Below are 27,936 nucleotides of genomic sequence, written 5' to 3' on the forward strand. Positions count from 1 at the left end.
CACACAGATACCACACACACACACACATACACACATACACAGCCCTTCTCTTGCTGCATGAGTCCACCCTGGGGAGGAGGGGCATGAGGGCACAGAGAGCCCACAAGATGCACTTCTGAGGCCACACACACAGCCCCATGGTCTGGAGCCTCAGCCTCATGGGCATGTAGCGTGTGTGCGTGTGTGTGTGTGTGGTTTCTGACATGTTTGCCCCTGACTGGAGCCTGGCTGCTGTATTTCTGGGGGAAGTGCCTTCGGTGGCCCCGCATGCTCCCTGCTGGGTGGCAGACAGGGGGAATCTGATCCTTGCCAGAGGATCAGATCCAGCAGTGGACGATACTCAGAGAAGAAGGTTTGCAGACTCAAGGGAGCCCAGACGCAGAAAGGACGGCTTGCCCAATAAAACACACAGCAGGTGTTTAGAGGAAAAAACAAGCCCCAAGATCGCCAAGCATCCTGGGTTCACTGCTTAAGATGGAAGAGGTGCAGCTCTCCTCTGTGAGGATGATATTTGCAAAGGTTGCCAAAGGTCTGCAGACACTCAGCGCCAAAAGGCAGGGCCGTTAGGGGAAGCAGCGGCCTCTGCGAAGACTCCAGGTGTCCTTTACTTGGGGGACTGGAACCAGACAGGCAGCCCTTTGTGCTGTCACTGTGGTTTGGGGATGTTCCATCTCTGCTGCAAGCTGCCACTTTTTCCTCCTTCCTGAGGGTGGGGTGTGATGGCCACACTTACTCAGCTGGAAGGAGGGCAACTTGTCAGTTTTGATTTCGTGAAGACCAAGGAAGAAAAGCTGTGAGATGCTGTTTCTGGGCAAAGGGATATCGCTTTTCATTCAGCAAATACCCGCTCGTCTCCCAGATGCCAGGCAGAGCGGGAGCACCCAGAGAGAGGGCGCCTGGAGGGGAGGCTCTGGACGGGGTGGATTTCCCACCAGTAGACCACAGGCAGTCTGGAATTCTAGATGTCACCTCCTGGACTGCCTGAGTTGGCAGAGCCCTTAGAGGTCATCTCACCCAATTTCGCCATTGTCTATTTGGAAAACTCAAATAGACAATGCCCAGAGGAAGGAAGCAATGTGCCCTTTGTCATCAAGCGAGGTAGTGGCAGGAGCAGGGTGGTGCTCGGGCTTGCCGTTGTCCCGCCCAGCGAGCTGGCCACGGTGGTACTGGGCCTCTCAGAGCAGGGCAGCATCCCCCAGGGGCTGTGAGCAGCACCTCCCCTGCCCGGGAGGGGAAAGAGCTAAATTCTCACTTAGCAGCAGGATGCTTCTGGGCCTCATTACGATGGTGCAAATTAATATTTATCATGCAATTATTCATCTTTGTAATTGCTAGTATTTCAAAGGGAGCGCAGAGGCTTTCATTAGAACACTTGGAACGTTATTCAGATGAAATGTCAAAATGAGCAGCGTCCCTCTCCACACTGGCAGCCCCTGTGTCCAGCTGCCTCCAGAAGGTTCCCAGCACCGGGGTCCACACAGCCGTGTTGCTGCCACTTCCAGGTGCTGGCTTGGGGTTTGGGTCCATTTGTTAGAAATCTTGACTTCTGGAAACCTGGGGGCATCTGAAGCCAGAAACTCGAGATTCAAAGGGCCTGGTGGACGTGGGACTCCATGAACATGAGCAGCAGAGCCTCTGAGGGCAGAGACAGGACAGTGTCATCAGGAGCCCCCACATCCTGCTGCCCCTCTGCACCCACCTGGCCGGCCTCCCTGCCTCGCACCCTCACCCCCTCCGGCCACATGCAGCTTGTGGCTTCCCTCCCTTCCCCTCCCTCCTACCTGGAGGCAGGTCTCCTTACACCCTGCCTCCAAGCCCACCACCAGGTGTGCCCGCCAGGGCTCTACCCTCCTACCACCTCCAAGCCCACCACCAGGTGTGCCCGCCAGGGCTCTACCCTCCTACCGCCTCCAAGCTCACCACCAGGTGTGCCCACCAGGGCTCTACCCTCCTACAGCCATCCAGCAAACATTTTAAGGTGTCTCTTGCCCTTTGAGGTCCATAGAACACTTTCAAATATTGGATGTTTCGTGGCAACCTAAGAGGATAAGAAGGTGGGCTCCAGTGGTGAAAAAGCAAGATTTGGAAAACGGAGACCCCCTCGCCCAGGGGTAGCAGTGCCTAGGCCACCTGCAGCATTGACATCAGCAAACTGCCAGGGAGGAGAGTGGAGGCTGCAGAACAGTCAGGTGCAGGCAGGGGCCCAGGGAGGAGGCGAGACCTGAGCAGGGGTGGAGCAGAGGGATGGCCGGTGGTGGGGAAGGAGGATGGGGATGGAGGAGGAGGAGGGTCAGACATGGCGCCCAGTGCCTGGCCTGGGCAGCTAAAACGGCAGCCCCAGGGGAGATGGGAGGCTCAGCCTGCGGTGAACTGAGGGGCCCGGGGCTTCCTCGGGGGATGCCAAGGCTGAGGATGCATGGGGGTTGCAGGAGGGCACAGGCAGAGGCTCAGATGAGAGAGTCGGGGTCGTGGAGATACCAGGAGCCATCAGAATTTGAGTTGACCCAGAGAGAGGCACAGAAAGAGCGGAGGCAGCCGGGACAGGCCCCGAACACACACGGCCAAGAGGAGGCCTGGGAGGGGCATTCAGAGGGAAGGGGCCTCAGAAATGGGGCAGAAAGGAAGGTTCTAGACAGCAAAGGGGCACAGGGTCAGGTGCGGCAGGGAAGGGAGGTGTGGGTACAAATGCGGTCCCCTAAACAGGTTGAGATCCTCACCCCCAGCACCTGTGAGTATGACTTTAAAACCTCACCCGACGGAATCCAGGAGGTGGGAGAGTGTTCTGGAAACAGCAACATCCCCCACAAACGAAGCTTCAGTGACTTCCTTGGGGCCCCTAAGTTCTGAAGGCTCTGGATGTCTGAGACTGGGTCCCAGCCACAGCAGCCTCTCCCGATCCTAAGGCACTGCTAGAGGACCCCTTGGTGATGCCCCATTTCCCTTCCCCGCCCGACTTACGCTCCCAGGACCAGCAACAACAGCTAGAGTGAGGTATATTCCTAGAGCTCTGTCGTTTAACCCTCACGGTGGCCGAGTGGGCAGGTGTGATGATTTGCGCATCTCCCAGGGAGGAAACCCACACATATCAGGGGAACCACAACTTCTCCCAGCTCAGAGAGACAGAGCTGAGCCCTCACCTGCTGGCTGTCAGGTCAGGCCAGCCTCCCACTCCATGACACAGAACGGACCTGAGGGGACCCCTCGGTGAGGCAGGCCTGGGCTCCAGTGCCGGCCCTCTCCCGCTGTGTGGCCTCGGGGAAGCCTCTTCCCCTGTCTGAGCCTCTGCATTCTCATCTGTAGAATGGGGATGCTCTGTCCTGCCTTCCAGAGCGTTGCTGATATCAGAATCCAGGTGTGGAACTTGGGCAGCAGAGTAGCGCCGGTGCCCTCCAGGCCAGCCCATTCTGTCCAGGCTCCAGTTCGGCAGTGGACTCCTCCTGCCCTGACCCTCACCCTCCATCCGCCTGTTTCCCGGGGTACGCTAGTCACCACGCTAAGGATGCCCTGGGGCCAGATACCCTTATGCCCCACCTCCAAGCCCACCAGGTGTGCCTGCCAGTGCTTCACCCTCCTGGGGCTCCACAGGCATCTGGCACCTTGAACCCAGCAGGGCCCCTGGAGACAAAACCCTCATCTACCTTTCACTTAAGCAGGGCCAGAGAGAGGCAGCCTCCTTTCCTTTGCTTTTCAACTGCTCCCAAACCAGCCCCGAAGCAGCCTGCCATGAGGCCCAGACAGCCTGTCCCATCCCAGCCCAGGCAGGATTAATATGCATGTATGGTAATCAGCGAAGCCCAGCAATTTGCATAACAATCAGAGGGAGTGTCCCCTCTCCTGGACTGCTTCCAAGGGCAGCTCCCACCCTGGTTCCCCACAAGACAGCAGGGGAGGGTATGATGGGGCCCCTGGACCCCCCAAGTGCTAGACCGGTGGCCTGGCTTTCAGCCCTGGAGGCTTCAGCCTGGAGAGGGCGGGATAGGTGGGGTACGGGGGTCCTTGGGCAGGGGAAGATACCAGTGAGACACTCATCTGACTGTCTCCAGAACTGTTTCCCGCATTCTTGAGGCCATGCTGGGGAAGCAGGAGAGAAACAAGGGTGTGGCCTCTCCTGGGCCTGCGTCCTGGGGAGGTGTGGAGTTGGGGGGCTCCGGGAAGGGACTCTGCTCGCCTCATCGAGGGGGCCTCTCCTGGGCCTGCATCCTGGGGAGGTGTGGAGTTGGGGGCTCTGGGCAGGGACTCTGCTTGCCTCATTGAGGGAGCCTCTCTTGAGCCTGAAAAATTGGGAAGGTGCCAGGACTCCCTTATAAGGTCGTTTGCCCTTAAGGAGATGGAGGAGAGTGTGTTCTGGAAGCAGCACCGTCCCCCATAAATGAAGCTTCTTATGACTCGGCTGCTTGGCCAACCTCACGGAGCCCCTTCCTTGGGCCCCTGGGGACACAGAGATGCCTGGGCATGGCCCCATCCCTTCTTAAGGGCTCGGCAGAGAGCAGCCAGGCCCTGCAGATCACCCTCATGCACGGGCCAGTCCAAGGTTTCCAGCATCTTGGTAGCTCTGCAGGCAGCGCCCTTCCCCGAGGGGGTCTTAGGCTGTCCCTCCGAACAGATCCCCACTTGCAGGAGGCTGGGCTCTGCTCTCCAAATGCTTGTCCATAATAATGAAACCCTTGCACATCTGCCCAGCACCTAGGAGCTGTCCAGAGTACCACCACATCCCGACCCCTATCACCCCGTGACGGCCCCTCAGTGGGCACTGGAACAGTGGAGCTCAAAGAGGAAGGATCTGGTGCCACCACGCCCCACCCCAGATCAGAGGTAGGAAAACCCAGGACTCAAGAGAGCTGGTCCAGGCCCTGCCCACCATGTCCATCACCCAGCCATCCATGGGCACAGTATGAGCTGGCCCAGGCCCTGCCCACCACGCCCATCACCCAGCCACCCACTGGCACAGTGCCCAACCACTCTTCTCCCCCGCCCCCTGCCTACTCTACTCAGTGACCAGATGAATCTTCTAGCTCCTCCTCTGCCCTGACCTCAGGTGACAAGCTGTGGCTTGCTGGGGAAGCCCAGTGGCTCACCGGGCACCAAAGCCCTCCCTGCAGGTGAGGACCAAGGAGCCCACCCAGCTGGTGCGGAGGCAGGAGGGACACGTCTGCCCTGCACTCTGAATCATGCAGGCATTTGATCCTTAATAACAATATGAGGAGGAGCTGTATCAAGTCTCAGGGTTTTTATGGGCCAAAAGTGATCCCACATTGGCAATTTCGTATAGTTCAATGTGATCATAATTATTAAGGTGTTAGGAGCCCTCTTAACAGAGCAGGCATCGTTCCAAGTTCTTTACACGTGTTTACTTCACCAGCATTTCTGACAGCCGTATCAGACGGCCCATGATGAGGACATAGAGCTCAGAGAAGTGAAGTAACTAACTCAATATCACACCTCTCCCACACACCTAACAGAATGGCTAAAATGAAAAATAATGACACCAGACACTCACAAGGATGTGAAGAACCCGGATCATGATATGCTGCTGCTATGGATGTCTTGGGACAGACACACTGGAAAAACAGCTTGGCTATTTCTTAAAAAATCTAAACATAGGCCGAGCGCGGTGGCTCACATCTGTAATCCCAGCACTTTGGGAGTTTGAGACCAGCCTGGCCAACATGATGAAACCCTGTCTACTGAAAATACAAAAAAATTAGCCAGGCATGGTGGTGCGTGCCTGTAATCCCAGCTACTCGGGAGGCTGAGGCAGGAGAATCGTTTGAACCCCAGAGGCAGAGGTTGCAGTGAGCTGAGATCGTGCCACTGCACTCCAGCTGGGCAACAAGAGCAAAACTCCGTCTCAAAAAAAAAAAAAAAAAAACTAAACATATAATTACCGGGTGACCCAGCAATTGCATTCCTGGGCACTCGTCTTAAAGAAATAAAACATCTGCACAAAAACCTGTACACAAGTGTTCATAGCAGCTTGACTTGTCATAGCCAAAACTGGAAACAGCCCTGATGTCCTTCATCCACCAATGGTTAAACAGGAACATCCAGGCCAGGCGCGGTGGCTCACGGCTGTAATCCCAGCACTTGGGGAGGCCAAGGCAGGCAGATCACCTGAGGTCAGGAGTTCGAGACCAGCCTGGCCAACATGGATAAACCCTGTCTCTACTAAAAACACAAAATTAGCTGGGCGTGGTGGCGCATGCCTGTAATCCCAGCTACTTGGGAGGCTGAGGCAGGAGAATCACTTGAACCCAGGAGGCAGAGGTTGCAGTGAGCCAAGATCATGCCATTGCAATCCAGCCTGGGCAACAAGAGGGAAATTCCATCTCAAAAAAAGAAAGAAAGAAAGAAACAGGAACATCCAGGCCGTGGGACCGTACTCTGCAGTAAAAAGGAACTATTAATCCACTCAGCAAGCTGGAGGAATCCAGGGAATTAGGCTGAGTGAATAAAAGCAATCCCAAAAAGTATGATGCAGCACAAGTCCGTGTATACATTTTTGTAATGAAAAAACTTTAGAATTGGAGGACAGATAGGTGGTGCCAGGGATTAGGGATGTGGAAGAGGGGTGGGTGTGGCCATAAAAAGGTAACTCCAACTCCAAGGATTCTCATGGTGATGGAGCTCTTCCACACCATGACAGGGGTGGTGGAGACAGGAACCTGCACAAATGATAAAGCTGTACAGAATTCACACACACACACACCCACGCACACACACATACACACTAGTACAGGCAAACTGGAGAAATCTGAATAGGATTGGTGGATTGCCCCAGTGTCCATTTCCTGGTTGTACTATTATTGTACTATAGTTTTGCAAAATATTGCCATCGAAGGAAACTGGGCAAAATGTGTAAAGGACACCTTCCTGTTCTTCTTTTTTTTTTTTTTTGAGACAGAGTCTTGCTCTGTTGCCCAGGCTGGAGTGCAGTGGTGCCATCTCTGCTCACTGCAACCTCTGCCTCCTGGGTGGTTATAAGTAAAATGCTTATTCCCTTAGAAATGCTTGTTCCTTGGTGCCAAAAAGAACAACTAGAGCTCAGACAAAGAATTTTCTCAGCAAGGCAACTTTGCTTTCTGCAGAAAGGGTGCTCCTCACAGATGCAGCAATGGCGAGAGCACACCTGAACAAAGGAGGGAAGCAATTTTTATCCCTTATGCGGTTTGTCCCTGCTACTGTGTCCTGTCTCCATTGGCTGGAGCTGGACCTCACAATCTAAGCTAAACCTGACTGGTTAATAACTTAAAACTTTCCTAAATAGGTAAAGTCAAGGGAGAACAAAGGAAAAGAGGAAGTTGCTTATGAAAAGACTTAGAGAAGTAATAACATTTCCAAATAAAGAAGGTGCATAAGCTGTGAGCTGGGACATGCCTGAGCATGTCTAGAACAAATACCTTGGTTAAAGTACAAGGACATAGAATGCACTCATTCCCTTATATCTAAAAGCTACCTAGGATAGGGCTTAACAAACAGTTATTAGCACAAAGCAAGGAGGCTTGAAGGAAGTTAGCCTTTAAAAGAAACTATTATTTCTAACACTTATGATTTATTCTTTAACAAGAAGGGAAACTTTGAAGAGGAATCTTTTTACTTTCCACACTGGGTTCCAGTGATTCTCCTGCCTAAGCCTCCTGAGTAGCTGGGATTACAGGGGTGCACCACCATGACCAGCTAATTTTTAGTAGAGACGGGGTTTCACCATGTTGGTCAGGCTGGTCTTGAATTCCTGGCCTTAAGTGATCTGCCCACCTCAGCCTCCCAAACTGCTGAGATTATAGGTGTGAGCCACTGCACCTGGCCTCCTTGCTATTACTTTTTTTTTTTTTTTTGAGACAGAGTCTCACCCTGCACTGGAGTGCAGTGGTGCGATCTCAGCTCACTGCAACCTCCACCTCCTGGGTTCAAGCGATTCTCCTGCCTCAGCCTCCCAAGTAGTTGGGACTATGGCCGTGTGCCACCTTGCCCAGCTAATTTTTGTATTTTCAGTAGAGACAGGGTTTCACCGTGTTGGCCAGGATAATCTCAATCTCTTGATCTCATGATCCTCCTGCCCCAGCCTCCCAAAGTGCTGGGATTAAAGGTGTGAGCCACCGCACCCGGCCTATTACTTCTTACAACTGTGTGTGCATCTACAATTATCTCTATGTTTTTAATTAACATTTTCTTTAAAGATGGCAAATTAAAAAAAAAAAAGGCTGTCACCACCCAGAGGAACCTAATGGGACATGACAACTAAATGTCATGTGGGATCCTGAGTGGGATCTTGGATCAGAAAAAGGATGTTAGGTTAAAAACGAACAAAACTGAATAAAATATGGGCTTTTGTTAATGAGAATGTTAGCAACATTGGTTTAATACTCGCATCAAATGTACCATGCTGATGCAAGATGCTAAAAATAGGAGAACTAGGGGCAGGGTGTGTGGGAACTCTCTGTATTATCATCTTAATTTCACTTGTAAGTCTACAAATGTTCTTTAAAAAAGTCTACTTAAAATTTTTTGAAGATACCAAATAACTACTTTATAAAAAGGTTTGAAAGCACCTGTGAAAGCTACATTGAGTCCAACCCTTTGACCCAGCAATTCCACTCCTAAATATATACCCAAAAGTAATGAGATCTTGTGTCCACCAAAGGCATATAAAATAAAATTCAGTCAGGCATGGTGGCTCATGCCTGTAATCCCAGCACTTTGGGAGGCTGAGGCGAGTGGATCACCTCAGGTCGGGAGTTCAAGACCAGCCTGGCCAACATGGTGAAACCCCATCTCTACTAAAAATACAAAAATTAGCTCGGCGTGGTAGAGCATGCCTGTATCCCAGCTACTCGGGAGGCTAAGGCAGGAGAATTGCTTGAACCCAGGAGGCGGAGGTTGCAGTGGGCCAAGATCGTGCCACTGCACTCCAGCCTGAGTGACAGAGTGAGACTCCACCTCAAAAAAAAAGAAAAGAAAATTCATAACAGCTTTTTTCAAAGTAGACAAAAACTGAAAACAAACCCAATATCCATCAATAGGAGAAGGGATGGTAAATTAGGTATATTCATACAATAGAATAATACAAATAAAAAGGGAACAAACAACTGCTCCTTTTTGTAAATGGGCAGATCTTGTGAGAATAACGATAAACAGAAGAACTCAGACAGAAATGGCTCTGGCTGGGATGATTCTGGGGACGTGAAGCTCAAGAACAGACAAAACTACCTGCAGTGCCAGAAGCCGTGGCACCACCAGGGTAGGAAATGTGCTGAGGGAGAGAGAACACAAGGACACCTTGGCCAGGTGGCAGCCACAAGGGTGTATAGATGTGTATGTATGTTATCATACATTTTTTATAGCAAAAATAAATTTTGAAAAAAGATCACACATGTTATGGACTGAATGTGTCCCCCCAAATTCATATGTTGAAGCTTTGAGACCAGGTTCAGTGGCTCATGCCTTCAAACCAAGCACATTGGGAGGCCAAGGCAGGAGGAGCCCTTAAACCCAGGAGTTTAAGACCAGCCTGGGCAACATGGCCAAACCTTTTCTGTACAAAAAATGTTTTAAAACCTTAGCCAGTGTAGTGGTGCATGCCTGTGGTCCCAGCCACCCAGGAGGCTGAGGTAGGAGGATTGCTTGAGCCCAGGAGGTTGAGGCTGCAGTGAGCCATGATTACACCACTGTACTCCAGCCTGGGCAAAAGAGTGAGACTCTATCAAAAAAAAAAAAGAAAAAAAAAAGAAGAAGCTAACCTCCAATGTGATAGTACAGTATATGGAGGTGGAGTGTTTGGGATGTGATTAGGTTTAGATAAGGATGGGGCCCCTGTGATGGGATTAGTGGCCTTATAAGAAGAGGAAGAGACACTGTAACTGCCCTCTTCCTCCTCCTCCCCTTCATGCTCCTCTCTCTCCCTCTCCCTTGTGAGGACCCAGTGGCCATCTGCAAACCCAAGGAGAGAGCCCTTGCCAGGACCTGAATCCACCAGCCCCTCGAAGTTGGGCTTCCAGCATACAGAATTATGAGAGATGAACATCCTTTGTTTAAGCCCCTAGTCCATGTTATTTCGTTCTAGAATCCCAGGCAGGCTAAGTCTACACAGCAGGAAAATGTTGAAGCCAAGTAGGAACCCAGAGGTCTGGTTTGCAGAGCTTTAACCGTGACGACCCCATGCTCATTTTCCCAAAGAAGACTCTAGAAACCTGAACCCGCTCCCCCCATCAACTCCCTGCTGCCCCAGCAAAGGGCTCCAGCTGCTCTGGATGATGTGGAAGCCAGGGCGCCATTGACATTTTGTGCAAGGTAACTCCCTGTGGTGGGGCCTGACCTGTGCATCGCAGGCCCCAACCACGCCTCTGGCCTCTACGCAGTAGCGCCAGCAGCCCACCTCCCCACAACTGTGACAACCAGAAATGTCTCCACACGAGTGTCTCCTGGGGGGCAAAGTCGCTGTGCTGAGAACCGCGGCTGCATGGGAAGTTGGCACACAGCCGGGAGAGTCGGCACCAAAGAGGAATAACAATTAAAGCGGCGATAATAAATGCAACAATAACAGTGACTGTAGAAACAACAATAATTTTGATAATCACAACCATAACAAAAGTGATCGCAGTAGCGGGGATAGCACCACGCACAAACTCACAATGCAACAGTAGGGATAATAAACAGCATGACACGGCTAATGACAGCACTAGTGTGGGGGTTTGCTGAGAGTGGGTGCACTGGGGTCCTGTCTCTCCAGCCCCCTGTGAAGACCCAGTGGCCACCTGCAAACCCAAGGAGAGAGCCCTTGCCAGGAACTGAATCCACCAGTCCCTCGAAGTTGGGCTTCCAGCATGCAGAAGAGGGCAGTTATGGTGTCTGAGCCAAGCTCAGAACCCTCCCCCCCGTCTCTCCAGCTCCCTGTCCCTGTGGAGGTGACTTCACCCTCTCTGAGAACAGGATCCTCCTCTATAGGTGGCCAGGTGGGTCAGCTGAGGTCATCCCTGGAGAGCACTCAGCCAGGGGCCCGGCTTCCAGGGAGTATGGTAAATGGTCCCTGCACCTCCCGGGGGGGATCTGTGCCCAGGGAAAGAAGAGGTTTTTGCCCAGGCCTGCAGGTTGGGCCCTGAGCATCAGGAGGGATCTGAGGATTCTCCCTGGTGCTTGGTTTGTCTCCAGAAGGAGCCCAGGACTCTGGAGACTCGGGTTCCAGTGACTCTGCCCACACCTGGCTATAGGACTCGGGCCAGCCCCTCCACCTCCAGTCTCGGACAGAGAATGGAAAAACGAGCTCTGACCTTTAGACTGACCTCCAGTCCTGCTGTCCTTGGAGCCCTCTCCCTTCTGGTCAAGTCCTCTTTTTTAGGGACACTTCTCCCCAGCCCCGCTTATGCCCAGAATGGCCGGTGACAGGCCAGTGTAGCCACAAATCCACGGGGAGCCAAGCTGGGGGTTCTCCGTGTCCCTAGTAAATGCACCTCCCTTGAGCAGTTTCTCAACAGGAGGACTCCCAGTGCCTGCTAAGGAAACAGAGAGCCAGGCCACCAGGACACCTTAGAGATCAAAGGCCACCTGTTCCTAATTAAGCAACAAAGTCGCCCTCTCCACATCTTAGCACTGCATGGGGTGCCCACGCTGGCCCCACAGCTGAGGCTCCCGGTCCCCACCCCATCAGTCCCCAGGTGCAGACACAGGCGTGCCAGAGCCCAAGTCACCGGGCCACCTGGGAACCTTTGCTACCCGCTCTTCTGCCCGGCAAAGGAATGGGAGGAGGAAAGTGTAGGCAGGGAGGGCTTCTGACCTCTGGTTCTGGAACCTTCCACCCAACACACCTGCACACCTGCTCACACCCGTGAGCCAGGAAACAAAAGTCGGGGCAGGAATGACCAAGATCAGTCAGGGAGGGAGGCGGCCAGGATGAGCCCCCACCCAGGCCAGCCCGGGAGGAAGGGAGGCAGGATGACTCCCCACCCAGGTCAGCTTGGGAGGGAGGCGGCCAGGATAAGTCTCCACCCAGGTCAGTCCGGGAAGGAGGGAACCAGGATGAGTCCCCACCCGGGCCAACCCGGGGCCCCTCTCCACACGGCCACTTCCTGTTCCCAGAGGCCCTGAGACTGCCACATCCACCCTCCCTGCCCCACACATGCACCACCCACCAGACACACTGACACACCACACACATACACACAGGTATGCACACACGCACACACGCACACACACACCACTCCACACTGGATACACACACCAGACAGCCACACCACACGCGTACACACAGGGGCATACATACACACACACACACACCAGACACACATTCACCACACAGAGACACACCACACACGTACACACAGGCGCACACATACACACACACACACACCAGACGTACATTCACCACACAGACACACCACACATATACACACAGGCATGCACATCCACACACACACCAGACACAGATTCACCACACACACAGACACACCACACATGTACACACAGGCGCGCACATACACACACACACCAGACACATTCACCACACACACCACATACACACACCAGACACACACACACGACACACACAGACACACCATACATGTACACACACACACACCACACAGGCACACCACACACGTACACACAGGCGCACACACACCACACCAGACACATTCACCACACACACCACATACACACCATGCCAGACACACACATGACACACACATTCACCACACACACAGACACACCATGCATGTACACACACAAACACCAGACACAGACACACCACCCACGTATACACAGGCACACACACACAACACACCAGACACATTCACCAAACACACACACCACACACACACATACCTCACACACACCACACTGGACACACACACAACACACACATTCACCACACACAGACATACCACACATGTACACACACACGGCAGACACAGAAACACCACCCACGTATACACAGGCACACACACACACCACACCAGACACATTCACCACACAAACACACACACACCACACACACACCACACTGGTCACACACAACACACACATTCACCACAGAGACACACCGCACATGTACACAAAGGCACACACAGCACACACACACCACACGCACATGCACAGCACACATGCCACATAAACACACACCAACCACACATGTGCACACACACACCACACACAGCCACCACACACACCACACACCTCATGCACATACCACACTCATTCATACACACCACACACACACCACACACCTAGGCGGAAACACTGGCACACGCATTCACACCCAGATGTACTCAAGCCACACACACACTTTCCAGCACTGGGTGCAGCAGTGAGGAGCAGCACGAAGCTGTGCCCAGCAGACAACAGAAAATTAAGGTGACACGACCATACTCTACGAAAGGAAAAAGGCACCCTGTCCCTTCAGCCAGGCTGGGCCAACCCGGACCAAGGCTGCTGTGCACCCATCCTCCCCCCAGCACCCTGGGGAGGTCCAGACGCACCCACCTGCCCCAGCAGAGCAGCCTCACGTGCGGTGTCCGGGCTCCCCGAGGCCCAGAGCGCCCGTGGCTGGCCTGGGGCTGCTGGACGGCGGCTTCTCCAGGTGCAGAGGGAGAAGGGAGGGGCAGAGGCAGGGGCAGGGGCAGGGGCGTGCATCCTGCCTCCCATGCTGTGCCCGCACTCCTGAGGGGCAGCCGCAGCTTTTGAATTCCCTGGGGCTACAGAGAGGTCTGGACTGGAGAGTGCAGACAAACAGACGGACAGACAGACCGACAGACAGATGGACAGATAGACAGGGCTCCTGGGCGGGAGCTGGGGGAGACGCAGGGGGCCTCTCTGGGTGGATTTCTCAGGGGTGGGGGCTCCAATCGGCCAATACCCTTTCTGGGCAGCCCACCGAAAGTGTGGTGAGGTGTTGGGTGTGGTGGAATTTCAAGCAAAGGGGCCTGTGGAGTGAGTGTGTGGGTGTGTGTATGTGGTATATGTGTGTGTCTGTGTAAGGTGTGTGTACTGTGTAATGTGTGTGTGTATGTAGATGTATGTGTGTCCATGAGTGAAGGAGCATGGTATGTGGTGCGTGGTGTGTGTCTATGTGCGATGTGTGTACTGTGGAGTATGTGTGTGTGTGAGTGTGTGATGTGTGGTGTGTGTCCGTGTGAGGTGTGTGTACTGTGGAATGTGTGTAAGTGTGTGTGGTGTGTGGTGTGTGTGTGAGGTGTGTGTACTGTGGAGTGTGTGTGTGTGAAGTGTGTGTGGTGCGTGGTGTGTGTCTGTGTGAGGTGTGTGTACTATGGAGTGTGTATGAGTGTGTGTGGTGCGTGGTGTGTGTGTGAGGCGTGTGTACTGTGGAGTGTGCATGTGAAGAGTGTGTGGTGTGTGGTGTGTGTCCATGTGAGGTGTGTGTGCTGCATGGTGTGTGTGTGAGTTGTGTGTACTGTGGAGTGCGTGTGTGGTGTGTGGTGTGTGTGTGAGGTGTGTGTACTGTGGAGTGTGTGTGTGTGAAGTGTGTGTGGTGCGTGGTGTGTGTCCGTGTGCGGTGTGTGTACTGTGGAGTGTGTGTGTGTGAAGTGTGTGTGGTGTGTGGTGTGTGTCCGTGTGAGGTGTGTGTACTGTGGAGTGTGTGTGTGTGTGAAGTGTGTGTGGTGCGTGGTGTGTGTCTGTGTGAGGTGTGTGTACTATGGAGTGTGTATGAGTGTGTGTGGTGTGTGTGTGAGGCGTGTGTGCTGTGGAGTGTGCGTGTGAAGAGTGTGTGGTGTGTGGTGTGTGTCCATGTGAGGCGTGTGTGCTGCATGGTGTGTGTGTGAGTTGTGTGTACTGTGGTATGTGTGTGAAGTGTGCTGCATGGTGTGTGTGTGAGTTGTGTGTACTGTGGTATGTGTGTGAAGTGTGCTGCATGGTGTGTGTGTGAGTTGTGTGTACTGTGGAGTGTGTGTGGTGCGTGGTGTGTGTGAGGTGTGTGTACTGTGGAGTGCGTGTGTGTGTGGTGCGTGGTGTGTGTCTTTGTGAGGTGTGTGTACTGTGGAGTGTGTGTGTGAAGTGTGGTGCGTGGTGTGTGTCTGTGTGAGGTGTGTGTACTGTGGAGCGTGCGTGTGGAGTGTGCGTGGTGCGTGTCTGCGGGTACAGGATGAGTCTGTGGGTGTGGTGTGCGTGCCCACGGGGGTGGGAGAAGCCCAGGGGTGAGCACAGGGTCAGCGCTGTGACGGGGCCCAGGCCGCTCTCAGTGACGCCCGCAAAACCCCACGTGGCGGGAACCAGGCTCAGCCACACTGGCGGGGTCAGCAGAGCCTGTCGGTGCAGGCGGCGTTCCCGGAAACTAGGAGGCCGCTGTGACCCCCAGACGTGCAGACCTGCTGAGGGTCCAGCGCTGCGGCTGGGCGGGGTCGAATTGTGTTCTGGGCAATGCTGGTGTCACTTAAAGTGAAATACACAAGGGGCGGACGGGCGGCTCCCGGGCTCCGGGTCCTTGGCCTGGACCTCGGCCTCCCCAAAGTGACCCCGGATGGCACCGCGAGTCCCCGTTTCCGACAACCACACGGCGCCGGCTGCACACGTCCTGTTTGCGTGGTTGCTAGGAGGTTGCCATGGCGACTAATCGGGGATGAGGGAAGCCTAGCGCTTAACACATCCCCCTCCGACGGTCAAAATTGGGCCTCTCTGGCAGCTGCTCCTGGGATCACAGCCGCCCACGCAGGGCCTGGGGATGGCTGGGCCCCCACAGACCCTTCCAGAAGCCGACACACCGGGGGATGATGGATGAACAGGAGCAGAATGGGTTAAGGATGGAGCGCAAACACAAACGGGATTGGGCCAGGTGGCCCGGAAGTGCCTGGGTCCCCAGATGGCTTGGATCCGTGTCTGTGGGTCTGGCGGGCCCCTCATGTATGCCGGCTCCCCCGGCAGCCCCTTGGCCTTGGACAGGGCCACTGGGTCTCCCTCAGCCACAGATGAGGAACCCAGGCTGTCAGAGGTGAGGTGCCCTGACCCCACCAGGAGCCTCCCCGAGTTACTGTCAGGGCGCTGGGATGCGCCGGGATGGAAACACACACCTCCCACGGAGGTGACGAAGAGACGCAGGCTCAGAGAGGCCTAGGGCCTTGTCCTGGGTCACCCAGCACACCAGGGATGCTGCAGTGTGCAGGCAGAGGCACTGGAACACCCAGTCCAGAGGGACTGGGGAGAGGCACCGGCCAGGGACACAACGATGGGGATGGGGCAACAGGCAATTGTGTAATTAAATGCCCGGGAGGCCGGGTGCTGTGGCTCATGCCTGTAATCCCAGCACTTTAGGAGGCCCAGGCGGGCGGATCACCTGAGGTCAGGAGTTCAAGACCAGCTTGACCAACATGGAGAAACCCTCTCTCTACTAAAAATATAAAATTAGCCGGGCGTGGTGGTGCATGCCTGCAGTCCCAGCTACTTGGGAGGCTGAGGCAGGAGAACCACTTGAACCCGGGAGGCGAAGGCTGCAGTGAGCCGAGATCGCACCCCTGCACTCCAGCCTGGGTGACAAGAGCGAAACTCTGTCTCAAATAATAATAATAAATAAATAAATGCCCAGGAGATGGAGCCAGGTGAAGGGCTACGGCAGGGAAGCCGAGTGTGGAGGAGACCGTGGCGGCACGAAAATTGGGAGAAAGAACTGACCTCTCCTGCTCTGCGCCCCAGTCTCCGGGGAGGAGGCAGTGACCCCGCTGCTTCCCTGTGCTCCCAGCCCCTGTTTCTCTTTGTCTCAAAGCAGCCCTTGTGGAGGCAGGCAAGGGAGGCTCACTCCTGCCACACACAGGGAAACTGAGGCCCAGGGCAGAACTGGCCCCAGACCCCGGCTTTGCTGCCCCCAGCCCTGAGATTCTCCATTTCCACACTCGTGACTGCTCACTTACCCGAACAAGCCTGGGGCCCCGATCACACAACCCACACTATGCCAGGCAGCAAGGGGCACCCTGGCCAATGCAGTGCCTGGCATGGGGCAGACGCTCCAGAGACGCTTGTGAATGGGAGGGAAAAGCAGAGACTGCCACCACATGTGGCAGATGGGGACACTGAGCCCCAAAAAGGGCAGGGGCACAGGAGAGTCCATGGAAGGGCCAGGAGCAGATCCCAGGGCTGGGCCGTGGTGGCCCCCACCCCACAGCCCACCCCGATCCTGAAGCAAGGGTGGGAGGGGGAAGGGAAAGAAAAGCCCCAGAAGTGGGTGGCCGAGTGGGCAGGGGCAGCCCCACACCACTGCCTCCCCCACCCCCGGTCTGCAGGGTGGGGGGTGCCGAGGCTTCTGCGGCCTCTGAGGAGGCAGCTGTTGCTATGGTGACCACCGTTACCTGGCAACTAAGCCGCATCGTCCTGGGCACCTGCTGTCTCTTCTCTGGAGCTGCTGGCTGGCTCTGGGGACAGACCTGTGTCCAAAAGCCCCCTTGTCTCAGAAAACCCACCTGTGGGGACAAGCCAGGTAGACGTGGGCACCAGGGGACCTGCAGAGCCTCTCCCGGGTCTGTGGGAACGAGAAGTGGAGCCACATCACTCAAGGCTTTCACTTTTTCAAAGCTGGGAATAATTGTATTGATTTATAGGATAATAAAAATAACATTGTAAAAAAATTTCAAACAATACAGGAAAGTATACAAACAAAAGTAAGACTCACTGGCATCTCATCTTGGTGGTATCTCCCGTCATCTCTCTGTGTGGTGTATCGAGGCATAAAGGCAGACGTGGTTTAACAAGGGGGTCATGCTCTCCACAGCCCTGCTCCCCCTTGGCCCTGCACAGAGACAGGTTTCTGGGTCAGCGACTTCACTCCATCACGCCGTCGCTGCCTGGTGTCTGGCGGTGACTCACTGAGTGTCCCCTGAACTCCCGCTCAACACCCAGGTGGGCACTGGGCTCCTGAGATCTGAGACTCCATGCCTGGCCTCGGGAAAGTGGGGGCTCGAAGGCATCTGGACCAGGAGACCTTTGGCCGGCACATCCATGACCCCAACTTTAGGCCGGAGGGCCCCACTTCATGAGAAAGGGGCAGCTTCCACAGGGTGGGGTTCCAAGGAAAGAGGGAGCCTGCTCAGCCAGGGAATCAGGGCAGGCTTCCGGGAGGAGGTCTTTTCTTGGCTGAGATTAGAAAAATGAGAAAGAGGCCGGGCACGGTGGCTCACGCCTGTAATCCCAGCACTTCGGGAGGCCGAGGTGGGCAGATCACCTGAGGTCAGGAGTTCGAGACCAGCCTGGCGAACATGGTGAAACCCCATCTCTACTAAAAATACAAAAATTAGCCAGGCATGGTGGCGGGTGCCTGTAATCCCAGCTACTTGGGAAACTGAGGCGGGAGAATCACTGGAACCCAGGAGGCAGCATTTGCAGTGAGCCGAGATTGTACGGCTGCACTCCAGCCTAGGCGACAGAGTGACACACCATATATATATATAGAGAGAGAGAGAGAGAAGAAAAAAGAAAGAAAGAAAGAAAGAAAGAAAGAAAGAAAGAAAGAAAGAAAGAAAGAAAGAAAGAAAGAAAGAGAAAGAAAGGAAGGAAGATTAGGAAATAGAAATAAATTTGGGGGACAAGAAGGAAACACAAAGAAGAAAAATGGGGTGTGCAGGGGCATGGAGGTGGGACTGTGCTGTCATCAATCGAGTCTTACCCGGCGGGGGCATCAGGGTACCCTGACCCATCCCTCACAGAGAAGGCTGGAAGGAGGGGGTCGGGGGACTGGGCAGCAGGAAAGTGGGAACGGCACGTGCAAAGCCCAGAGGCAAGAAGGAGGTCTTTTCAAGAAACTGCAGAGGGTTCCAAATGTAGGGGTGCTGGGTGTAAGGTGGCAGCCGACGGCAGCCACGCCACCAGGGCCCAGGCTGAAGAGCATCGCGGGGCTGAGTGACGGCGGCTCTGGAGCCCGAGCGCCACCCCTTGGCCGTCTTCACGGTGCAAAGACAGAGAGTGAGCGGTGGGGGAGAAGCTCCTGGGACAGAGGGCCCCCGCCTGCCCTCTCTGTGTGCTGGGGGGAGGGATGGGTGCTCTCCCACCACCTGCTGGGCCATCTGGGGGGGTCCCAGGCTATGGGATGGAGCACAGGGCGCTAGACCCCTGGGGCCCTGGGTGAGCCCCCAGTCTGAGATCACAATGGAGTGGTCTGGGCTGGAGAGAGGGAGCCCAGAGGAGTCCCAAGCATGCCTGGTGGTCTGCGACGGTGTCCAGGAGGAGGTGAGGTTTGGGCGGAGCTTTGGTGACAACCAGGGTGTAGCAAGGGGAGGGTGATATTCAGGATATTCAGTCCCTTCGGGGTTCCCCGGGCAGGCCTCTGCTGCCAGCTCAGCACCAGGCCCAGGCTGGTGGAGGCCACCAGAGACCACTCAGTAGACCCTCCAGAGTGGGGGTGGGGAGCCCCTCCGGATGCTGATAGTGGATGACAAACAGACGGAGAAGGGGGGCCCCCAGGACAGAGGGGCACAGGGCCGGGAGACGGGTTGCAGGGTCTGAGCCGGTTCTGCCCTGCCTGCCTGGGGACTGCCCACATCCTAATCCCCTGAACCTGTGAGAATGACCTTATTTGGAGACAGGATCTAATTGCATCCTGGATTTTTTCTGGTGGGCCCTAAGTCCCATGACAGTGTCCTTGTAAGAGACAGAAGAGGAGAAGACACAGAGGGAGGCCACGTGAGGATGGAGGAAGAATGAGAGGGACAGGACCACAAGCTAAGGAACCGGGGCCCCCAGGAGCTGGGAGAGGCAGGAAAGATCCCCCTGAGCCCTCAGAGGAGCCTGGCTCTGCCGACACCCTGATTTCGGACCTCTGGCCTCCAGAACTGCGATCGAATAAATGTCTGTTGTTTTAAGTCCCCCAGGCTGTGGTCATCTGTGAGTCCGCAGAACTGACTTGGGGACCTTGGGTGGCAGCAGCTCCCCTGCACACGGTCCCACGGGTCCAGCGCTGCCCACACTCTGTCCCTCCCAAAGGCAGCCCGGGTGATGAGGGCCGACAGGGTGCTGTGGCCAAGGCCGTGTCAGCGTGCAACATGGAGGGCCCGAGGCTGCTCTTGAACAACACCCACTGCCTGACCCCAAAGGCACCGTCATAAGGCAGGGGCCCGGCAGCAGCACCAGTGTACCCTGAGCTGCTGCCCAAGGGCCTGGCCTGGGCACACACAGAGGGGCCAGCTGGGCTCGTGGCCTCTCAGGGCCATTTCAGGCCGGCCCCCATGCTGGCAAACCACGGGGAAGGCCCAGAGAGGGTGGGGCCCTGTGGGATTTAGGGGGGATCAGAGGGCACACACTCTTCCAAGAGCCAGAAAGAACCCTGGACCCTGCGGGAACCGCACCCTCAGCCCCTCCCGGGCTGCAGTAGGTCTGGGGGCTGGGAGCACCTGGGCGGGGGGACGGCGTCGCCTGCCAGCCACAGGGTCTCCAGACGGCTCAGATGGGGAGCCAGCCCCAGTGTCGCTTGGAAGGAGGCAGTTCTAGGTGGTCCAGGTTCCCAGTGTCATGGAAACAACAGTGGCTGTTTGTTAAAGTGACAGCGTCATTGTTTTCATCATCATCATTACTTGCTGGACGCTGAGCGCCGGGAGCCTCACTCACCCATCCCAGGGGGTCCTCTCCACACCCCATCAGGAGGCGGATGGGCAGGGACACACCGCTGGTGGGTGGGGACTGGCCTGGGACTCTGAGGGCCAACCCCCAGCTCCTATGGCAGTGACAGTGGCTCACGAGCAGAAGGCCAGGGAGATGAAAGGGATGGGGGTTCCCAGGGAGGCCCCTTCCCCTCCCTGAGCCTCAGTTTCCTCCTCTGTAAAATGGGGATGAGGCTGGCCCATCCCAGGGCAGGCAGGGCTGCTGGGAGCTGACCAGGCAGAGGGTAAGACTTTGTGGACAGCATTTCTCCAGACATTTGGGAAGGGGAGTGCAGGGAACTAGCAGGTCCCATGACCAGAGGACCCCGCGCTGGGTTGAGTGCTCTGCCATCCTGTCTTGAGATTCTTAGTCATTGGTGAAGGAGAGCCCCCATTCTGGTTCACCTTGGCTGGGCCAGCTCATTATTTGGCTGGTCCTGGATGTGGGCAGCCCCAGGATGCAGCCCTCCTCCTCAGGCTGCCCCCACACACCCCCGGCCGGGGCAGGCTGGCCGCCTCCCCGCTGGGCCTTCCTCCCGGGAAACTTCCCTGACTGCCATCCCCCCTCACCTGGGGGCCTCCCTCCCACAGCCTGGGCAGGGGTCAGACACAGCAGGAAGGGTTTGCTGATGGGCTACATGGTGATCCTTGGGGAACACTGAGGGGCGCAGGTGTGGCTTCCCCAGCCCAGCCCTAGGAGGGCCCACAGCTGGAATTTTCATCGTCCAGAACCGTCCTGGACGGCGCCCACGAAGGGGGCCAGGTGTGAGGCAACCCCAGGAAGGACGGTGGCTCTCCAGTCTCCGCCTGCAGGCGGCCTGATGGGATCTGTGGGGCACTGCTGCCACCTAGTGGTTGATGAAGAGAAGGCAGCACACACCCACCTGGGAAGAATAATGTTAATTAAGTTAGAGAGTGAGTTAGAGAGTTGTTAGTTAGAGAGAGTTAGAGAGTTAGAGAGTTAGGGTTAGGGTTAGGATTAGGGTTAGGGTTAGGGTTATGGTTAGGGTTACCTTTACGGTTAGGGTGAGACGGGGACATCCAGTCAGGATAAGCATGGGGGACCAATGCAGAAGATACAAGTTTCCTGGATGCTTCAGACAACCCAACTTTCTTCCCTTCCCCACCACTGTTCTCCAGTTAACTACTTATCAGCTTACCCTGTGCACAAGGTAATGAAGACGGTCATACAGCCAGTGAGTTGCAGGGATCGCAGGAACCCCACGACCACCAGGTGGACATTCAAAAGGCAAATCGCATCCCTGAGGACCCCACACTAAAAGCCAAGCTCGAGCCAGCTCTTCCCTCCTCAGGTGAAAGCTGTGAAAGCTTGAGGCTCTGTTGCAGGCTGCAGGGAGGAAGGGGCACCACCCTCTCCCTCCTGCCCTTCCTTCCTTGTGGGTGGTCCTATTCTTCTGTCCTGGTTTTGCAAACGCAGCTTCCAATCCCCTTTCCCACGGGGAGCCCCTCCTGTGTAGAGACAGGAGCCTCCCTGGGCAGAGACCCCAGCTCTGCCTCCGAGATGCCCCCAGGTGACCTTCAGAAGTGAAAATGGACCTCCAGCCCCACCTCTTCAAGGTGCAGCTGGCCAGTGAGTTAGCGAGAGAAGGAAGCCAGGCAGGGGGCAGGGGCACCGTGCTTAAGAGGCGGCCTCGGGGCCAGGTGCAGTGGCTCACACCTGTAATCCCAGCACTTTGAGAGGCCGAGGTGGGCGGATCACCTGAGGTCAGGAGTTTGAAACTAGCCTGACCGACATAGAGAAGCCCCGTCTGTATTAAAAATACAAAATTTTTTTAGTAGAGCTGGGCGTGGTGGCTCATGCCTGTAATCCCAGCTACTCGGGAGGCTGAAGCAGGAGAATGTCTTGAACCCGGGAGGCAGAGGTTGTGGTGAGCCGAGATCTCGCCATTGCACTCCAGCCTGGGCAACAAGAGCAAAACTCCATCTGGAAAAAAAAAAAGAGAGAGAGGCAGCATCGGGCATTTGGACCTAGATTCACAGCTCAGCTCTGCCGCCTTCCCAGCTCTCCCTGCTCCGTCACCTCCCTGGGCCTTGTGCCTTCACCGTAAGACTGGGGCAGTGGTGCCTCTGCCCTGGGACGACCATGTGCATTCAACAGGAAATAGTCGCAGAGCTCCTGGCCAGGCTCAGTGTCCAAGGCGAGTCCTGCAGGCCCCGCAGAGCCCATGCATGTGCCTGGAGGCACCGCGGCCTGTGCTGGGAAGGAGGGAGAGGAGGAACATTCCACTGCCTCATCACTGTCCCAGAGGCACCAAATCAATGCCCCCACCTGAGGCAGGGAGGAGACAGGGCACGAGGGGAGGAAAGTAGGGGGAGGAGCGGGGCCTGGACAGAGGCAGGGGAGGAGCAATGGAGAACAGCCAGACGCCGGCTTGCCAGCAAGAATGGAGGCCAGTGCCTGGCGCAGCCACACCTGAGCTTTCCGACTGTTCATCCTGGAGATCTGCAAACCGCACTCCCCCACAACAGCCCCAGGTGCCCCTCCTGAACCCCCCTCCATCTGCCTCCTCCTCGCCTCCCAGAGCCCCCTCTGCAGGTCAGACCGTCTTGGTCTCTGGCCTGAACTTAAAACCGTTAATCAGAGCTGCTGCACCTCTGTTTGAACATCCTCTGCTCATGTCTGGGGTCCCCGTATAGGATCTAAACTCCTCCCAGGGGCTGGGGCCAGGGCAGCCTGCCTGCCTGCACCCTGGACTTCCTCTCCCTGTCACCCACCCATCAAGGTCCTCTGCTGCTGGTGCCCTGAGCCATGCTGGGGACCTCAGCTGGGCCTTTGCATGGGCTGTGCCCTCTGTGGCAGCCTCTCCCATGCACCTGCCCACCTGTTACCTTCCCCTGGCCACGGCCCACTCATCCTTCGGCTATATCAGAACCTCTCTGACTCACAGCCTTGCCTCCCCCTGACACTCCAGGTGAGGCCCTCCCAGGGCAGGCCCACTGGTTTCCCGGGGACAGGCCTTGTTGGCATTTGCCAAATGGTGGTGCCCTGGCAGGCTCCTGCCTACCTGCCTTCTCTCCACCTCCACCAGTGGCAGCCCCCACCCCCCATGACCCTTGCTTTGGGGTCCTGAGTCTCGATGAGGGTTTTAGGGCCCACCCGGGAAGCGTAACCCCAAATCCAAGCCCTTGTCACTCCATGCACATCTGCTGAATGACCCAGGGTCACAGAGACTACTGCATCCCATAGCCCAGCCCTGGAGCCTCAAGGGGAAGAAAGGCACCTACACAAGTAATGCTGTTGAACGAAGCCAAATTGATGGGAAGCAAACAGGACGTGCTTCCACAGGGGAATGGGTGAATAAACTCAGGCACAGCCAGGCAATAAGATGTGATTCAGCGATTACAAGAAATGGGCTATGAACACCGCCTGGTAAGTGAGGAGCGCCTCTGCCCAGCTGCCCACCATCTGGGAAGTGAGGAGTACCTCTGCCCAGCTGCCACCCTGTCTGGGAAGTGAGCAGTGCCTCTGCCCGGCCGCCGCCCTGTCTGGGAAGTGAGGAGTGCCTCTGCCTGGCCACCCCACCATCTGGGAAGTGAGAAGCACCTCTGCCCAGCCCCCCCGACCCTCTGGGCCGCTGTGCAACCTTCCAAGTGTGAAGTGACAGCCTTGTATGGGATCTTTCTGCCTTCCCCAAGTTTCCATTTTCAACATTAAAGTTTACTTAGAAAGAAAGAAGGAAAGAAAAAGAAAGAAAGAAAGAAAGAAGGAAGGAAGGAAGGAAGGAAGGAAGGAAGGAAGAAAGAAAGAAAGAAAGAAAGAAAGAAAGAAAGAAAGAAAGAAAGAAAGAAAGAAAGGAAGGGAAAGAAAGGGGCTATGAAGCCATGAAAAGCCATGGAAGTGGCCAGGCACAGTGGCTCACACCTGTAATCCCAGCACTTGGAAGGCTGAGGCAGGTGGATCACCTGAGGCCAGGAGTTCGAGACCAGCCTGACCAAAATCGGGAAACCCTGTCTCTACTAAAAATACAACAAAATAGCCAGGTGTGGTGGTGGGCACCTGTAATCCCAGCTACTTGGGAGCCTGAGGCAGGAGAATCACTTGAACCTGGGAGGCAGAGGTTGCAGTGAGCCGAGATCGCACCATTGCACTCCAGCCTGGGCAACAAGAGTGAAACTCCATCTCAAAAAAAAAAAAAAAAGGCATGGAAGCACTCAAAATGCATCTCACGAGTGGAAGAAGCAAGTCTGAAAAGGCTACAGACAGTGTGATCCCAACTACACGACCCTGTGGGGCAGGGCAAACTACGGAAACAGTGAAAGGAGCGGAGGTTGCCAGGAATGAGAGGGAGACAGGGATAAGCAGGTAGGGCATGGGGATCTCAGGGCAGTAACACTGCCCTGGATGATGCTACCATGGGGGTCCCTGTCCTTGCACAATGTCCAATGCCAAGAGGGGCCCCTCATGGAAACCGTGGACTCTGGGTGGCCCTGATGTGGCTGGTGGACAGTGATAGAGGGGAGGGTGTGCATGGTGGGGCCATGCGGCTGTGGAAAATCTCTGCACCTTTCAATCAGTTCAACTCTGAACCTAGAACTGCTCTAAAAATAAAGTCTATTAATTTTGTTAAGGCAGATTGAGAGGTACCATTAAGGATACGCAAGAAGTAGGGGGCCAGGAGTGTGTAGGGGCCCCATCCTGTCTGGGAGACTCAGCAGTCACCCAGCCAAGCCAAGCTCAGTGTCTGTGTCTGCAGGGGGTATCCCTGACAGAGTCCCAGGAGTGTCTTGGAAAGGGGAGGTCACGAAAGGCCTTTGTAAGTCAGGGTCCTGGGTCTAAGCAGTTTGTGGAGATGGACTGGGACTGGGTGAACCTAGTGACACAGCAGAATGGCACTGGGGACGCAGTGAGGCGTGGGTTTCAAGCATGTCCTGGTGAGAGAGCAGTCATTTCACGAGCAAGCAGCTCACCCAGTGAGGTGAGCTATTGTTCAGATAAATGGATTCCAGGAAGTTCCTGAAACAAGAAAGTCCTTTGCAACTGTGTCTTCCTGAGCAAGGATTTTCTGGAATGGCCTGGTCATAGTATCACGTGCAGTTGTAGCTCTCGGTTGGATGAGCTATGGGCTGGCGGTTTGTTCTTAGGCCCTAGAGGATGGACCCAGGGACTGGCAAGGGCAAAACCTGAGGCTCCAAAGAGCTCAGAGGAGAGCAGGGAGTCAATCACATGAGGCCTCAGTTTTCCCATCTATAAAATAGATGGTGGCCTGCGTGGATTCATAGGGCCCTTCTAGCTCTCCTGGATGAGTCTGTTTGAATCCAGGCCCTGGGGAGGAGGGATGGGTGGGGGCTGGGAAGTCGCCCATGGGAGATCACAGTGGAGCAGTGACAGAGGCAGAGTTGGATCCAAATGTCCCAACGCCCAGTCCAGCCTGCTCCCTGGCCCCTCTCCCTGACCAAGAAGGGTGGGGAGCCAGGAGTGGGGCTGGGCCTTCCAGAGACACAACCACCTCATCCCTCCCTACAGCCCACCAGTCTGAGACCCTGGTTCCTCTGCCTCTCTCGGCTCCTTGTCCTGTGGCCAGCCCATGCCTGTCACCTCATGGCCAGCCCCTGGCTGTCACCACCTCTCCTTGCATCCCCCTGGGCCTAACCCACTCCCTCAAATCCATTCCCTGTGCTGGGAAGATCCATCTTAGCAAAACTCAAGTCTGATCCTGTCACTCACCTGCTCAAAAACCCCCATGGCTCCCCATTGCCCTGTAGACAAAGACTCTCCTCACCGTATCGGAATCCTAGCTGCCTATGTTGTGTATATTGATCCCAAAATTCACATGGAAATGCAGCGGGCCCAGAAAAACCAAACAATCTTGAAAAAAAAAATAGGAGGACTCATACTTCCCAACTTCAAAACTTACAGCAAAGCTACAGCTATCAAGATGGTGTGGTACTGGCATAATTAAAGACATATAGGTCAATAGAACAGAGTAAGAGTTCAGAAATAAACCCATACATACATATATGGCCAATCGATATTCAACGAGGGTGCCAAGACAATCAAAGAAGAATCATCTTTCAACAAATGGAGCTAAGACAACTGGGTATCCACATGCAAAAGAGTGAAGCTGGACCCCTACCTCACTCCATATACAAAAACTAACTCAAAATGGATCAAAGACAGCCATGGAAGAGTTGCCACTACAAAAATCAGAAGAGGTCAGGTGCCAATCTTCGTGACTGAATTAGGCAAGAGTTTCTTCGTTGTGACACCAAAAGCACAAGCAATGAAAGAAAAAACATAGAAAATGGATTTCATCAAAATGAAAAACTTGTGCTTTGAAGGACATTCACAAGAAAGTGACAAAACAGCTCAAAGAATAGAAGGAACTATTTGTAAACCACATATCTAATACAGATATAGTATTTAGACTATATAAAGAACTACTACAACTCAATAATTTAAAAAAACAAATATCCACATTAAAAAGTGACCAAAGGAGGCTGGGCACAGTGGCTTACACCTATAATTTCAGCACTTTGGGAGGCCAAGGTGGGGTGATCACTTGAGGTCAGGAGTTCGAGACCAGCCTGGCCAACATGGCAAAACCCTGTCTCTACTAAAAATACAAAAATTAGCGGGACATGGTGGCGGGTGCCTGTAATCCCAGCTACTTGGGAGGCTGAGGCAGGAGAATCACTTGAACCCAGGAGGCGGAGGTTGCAGTGAACTGAGATCACACCACTGCACTTCAGCCTGGGTTATAGAGTGAGACTCTGTTTCAAAAAAAAGTGACCAAAGGATTTGAAGATACACTTCTCTAGACAAGACATACTCATGGCAACAGGCACGTGAAAAGGGGCCTGATATCACTAGTCATCAGAAAAAATGCAAATCAAACCCACAATGTCACAGCACTTCACAATCACAATGATGGCTATACCAAAAAAAAAGAAATGACAATAACAAATTGAGGCAAGGATGTAGTGAAATTAGAGCCCTCATACATTGCTGACGGGAAGGTAAAATAGCGCAGGAGGTTTGAAGAAAAGCCGGGAAGTTCCTCAGAAAATTAAACATAGAGTTACAGCAATCTCACCCCAGATATCTACTCAAGAAAACAGAAACACATGTCCACACAAAAATGTACACTTGAATGTTTACAGCAGCACTATTCACAACAGCAAAATATGGAAACAATCCAAATTTCCATCAACAGAAAATGGATAAACATAACGTGCTATGCACATCCAACCATAAAAAGGACTGAAGTCCTAACAAGTGACACATCGTGGGTCAACCTTCAAAACATGGTGCTCAGTGAAAGAAGCCTGACATGAAAGGCCACAGATTCTAGGTTTCCTTGTGTATGAAATGTCCAGAATAGGGAAACCTACAGAAACAGAAAGATTGGTGATTGCCAAGTGC

At 54.6% G+C, this 27,936-nt stretch overlaps 2 long non-coding RNA genes across 2 annotated transcripts, besides 4 other annotated features; one reads left to right on the top strand and one right to left on the bottom strand.

Moving 5' to 3' along the window:
* Window positions 1–1,317: 1,317 nt before the first annotated feature.
* LINC00229 (long intergenic non-protein coding RNA 229) lies at window positions 1,318–20,409 on the bottom strand. The gene is made up of 5 exons (NR_044991.1): window positions 20,307–20,409; window positions 17,597–17,713; window positions 17,277–17,446; window positions 1,921–2,038; window positions 1,318–1,635 (listed from the first exon to the last, which is right to left on the bottom strand). It is a non-coding gene; the product is annotated as a long intergenic non-protein coding RNA 229 (long non-coding RNA).
* Window positions 2,193–2,898: an enhancer, noted in NCBI's record as "H3K4me1 hESC enhancer chr22:45003083-45003788 (GRCh37/hg19 assembly coordinates)". NCBI's record gives its function as "activates a minimal SCP1, AML or CMV promoter by ChIP-STARR-seq in naive H9 embryonic stem cells {active_cell/tissue: H9 hESC(naive)}" and the evidence as "EXISTENCE:reporter gene assay evidence [ECO:0000049][PMID:30033119]".
* Window positions 13,093–13,594: an enhancer, noted in NCBI's record as "H3K4me1 hESC enhancer chr22:45013983-45014484 (GRCh37/hg19 assembly coordinates)". NCBI's record gives its function as "activates a minimal SCP1, AML or CMV promoter by ChIP-STARR-seq in naive H9 embryonic stem cells {active_cell/tissue: H9 hESC(naive)}" and the evidence as "EXISTENCE:reporter gene assay evidence [ECO:0000049][PMID:30033119]".
* Window positions 14,696–15,460: an enhancer, noted in NCBI's record as "H3K27ac-H3K4me1 hESC enhancer chr22:45015586-45016350 (GRCh37/hg19 assembly coordinates)". NCBI's record gives its function as "activates a minimal SCP1, AML or CMV promoter by ChIP-STARR-seq in naive H9 embryonic stem cells {active_cell/tissue: H9 hESC(naive)}" and the evidence as "EXISTENCE:reporter gene assay evidence [ECO:0000049][PMID:30033119]".
* LOC105373060 (uncharacterized) lies at window positions 19,068–19,782 on the top strand. The gene is made up of 2 exons (XR_938301.1): window positions 19,068–19,146; window positions 19,543–19,782. It is a non-coding gene; the product is annotated as an uncharacterized LOC105373060 (long non-coding RNA).
* Window positions 19,287–19,786: an enhancer, noted in NCBI's record as "H3K4me1 hESC enhancer chr22:45020177-45020676 (GRCh37/hg19 assembly coordinates)". NCBI's record gives its function as "activates a minimal SCP1, AML or CMV promoter by ChIP-STARR-seq in naive H9 embryonic stem cells {active_cell/tissue: H9 hESC(naive)}" and the evidence as "EXISTENCE:reporter gene assay evidence [ECO:0000049][PMID:30033119]".
* Window positions 20,410–27,936: the final 7,527 nt, after the last annotated feature.

This window comes from Homo sapiens, chromosome 22, assembly GCF_000001405.40.
Source record: "Homo sapiens chromosome 22, GRCh38.p14 Primary Assembly".
NCBI classification, from domain to species: domain Eukaryota; kingdom Metazoa; phylum Chordata; class Mammalia; order Primates; family Hominidae; genus Homo; species Homo sapiens.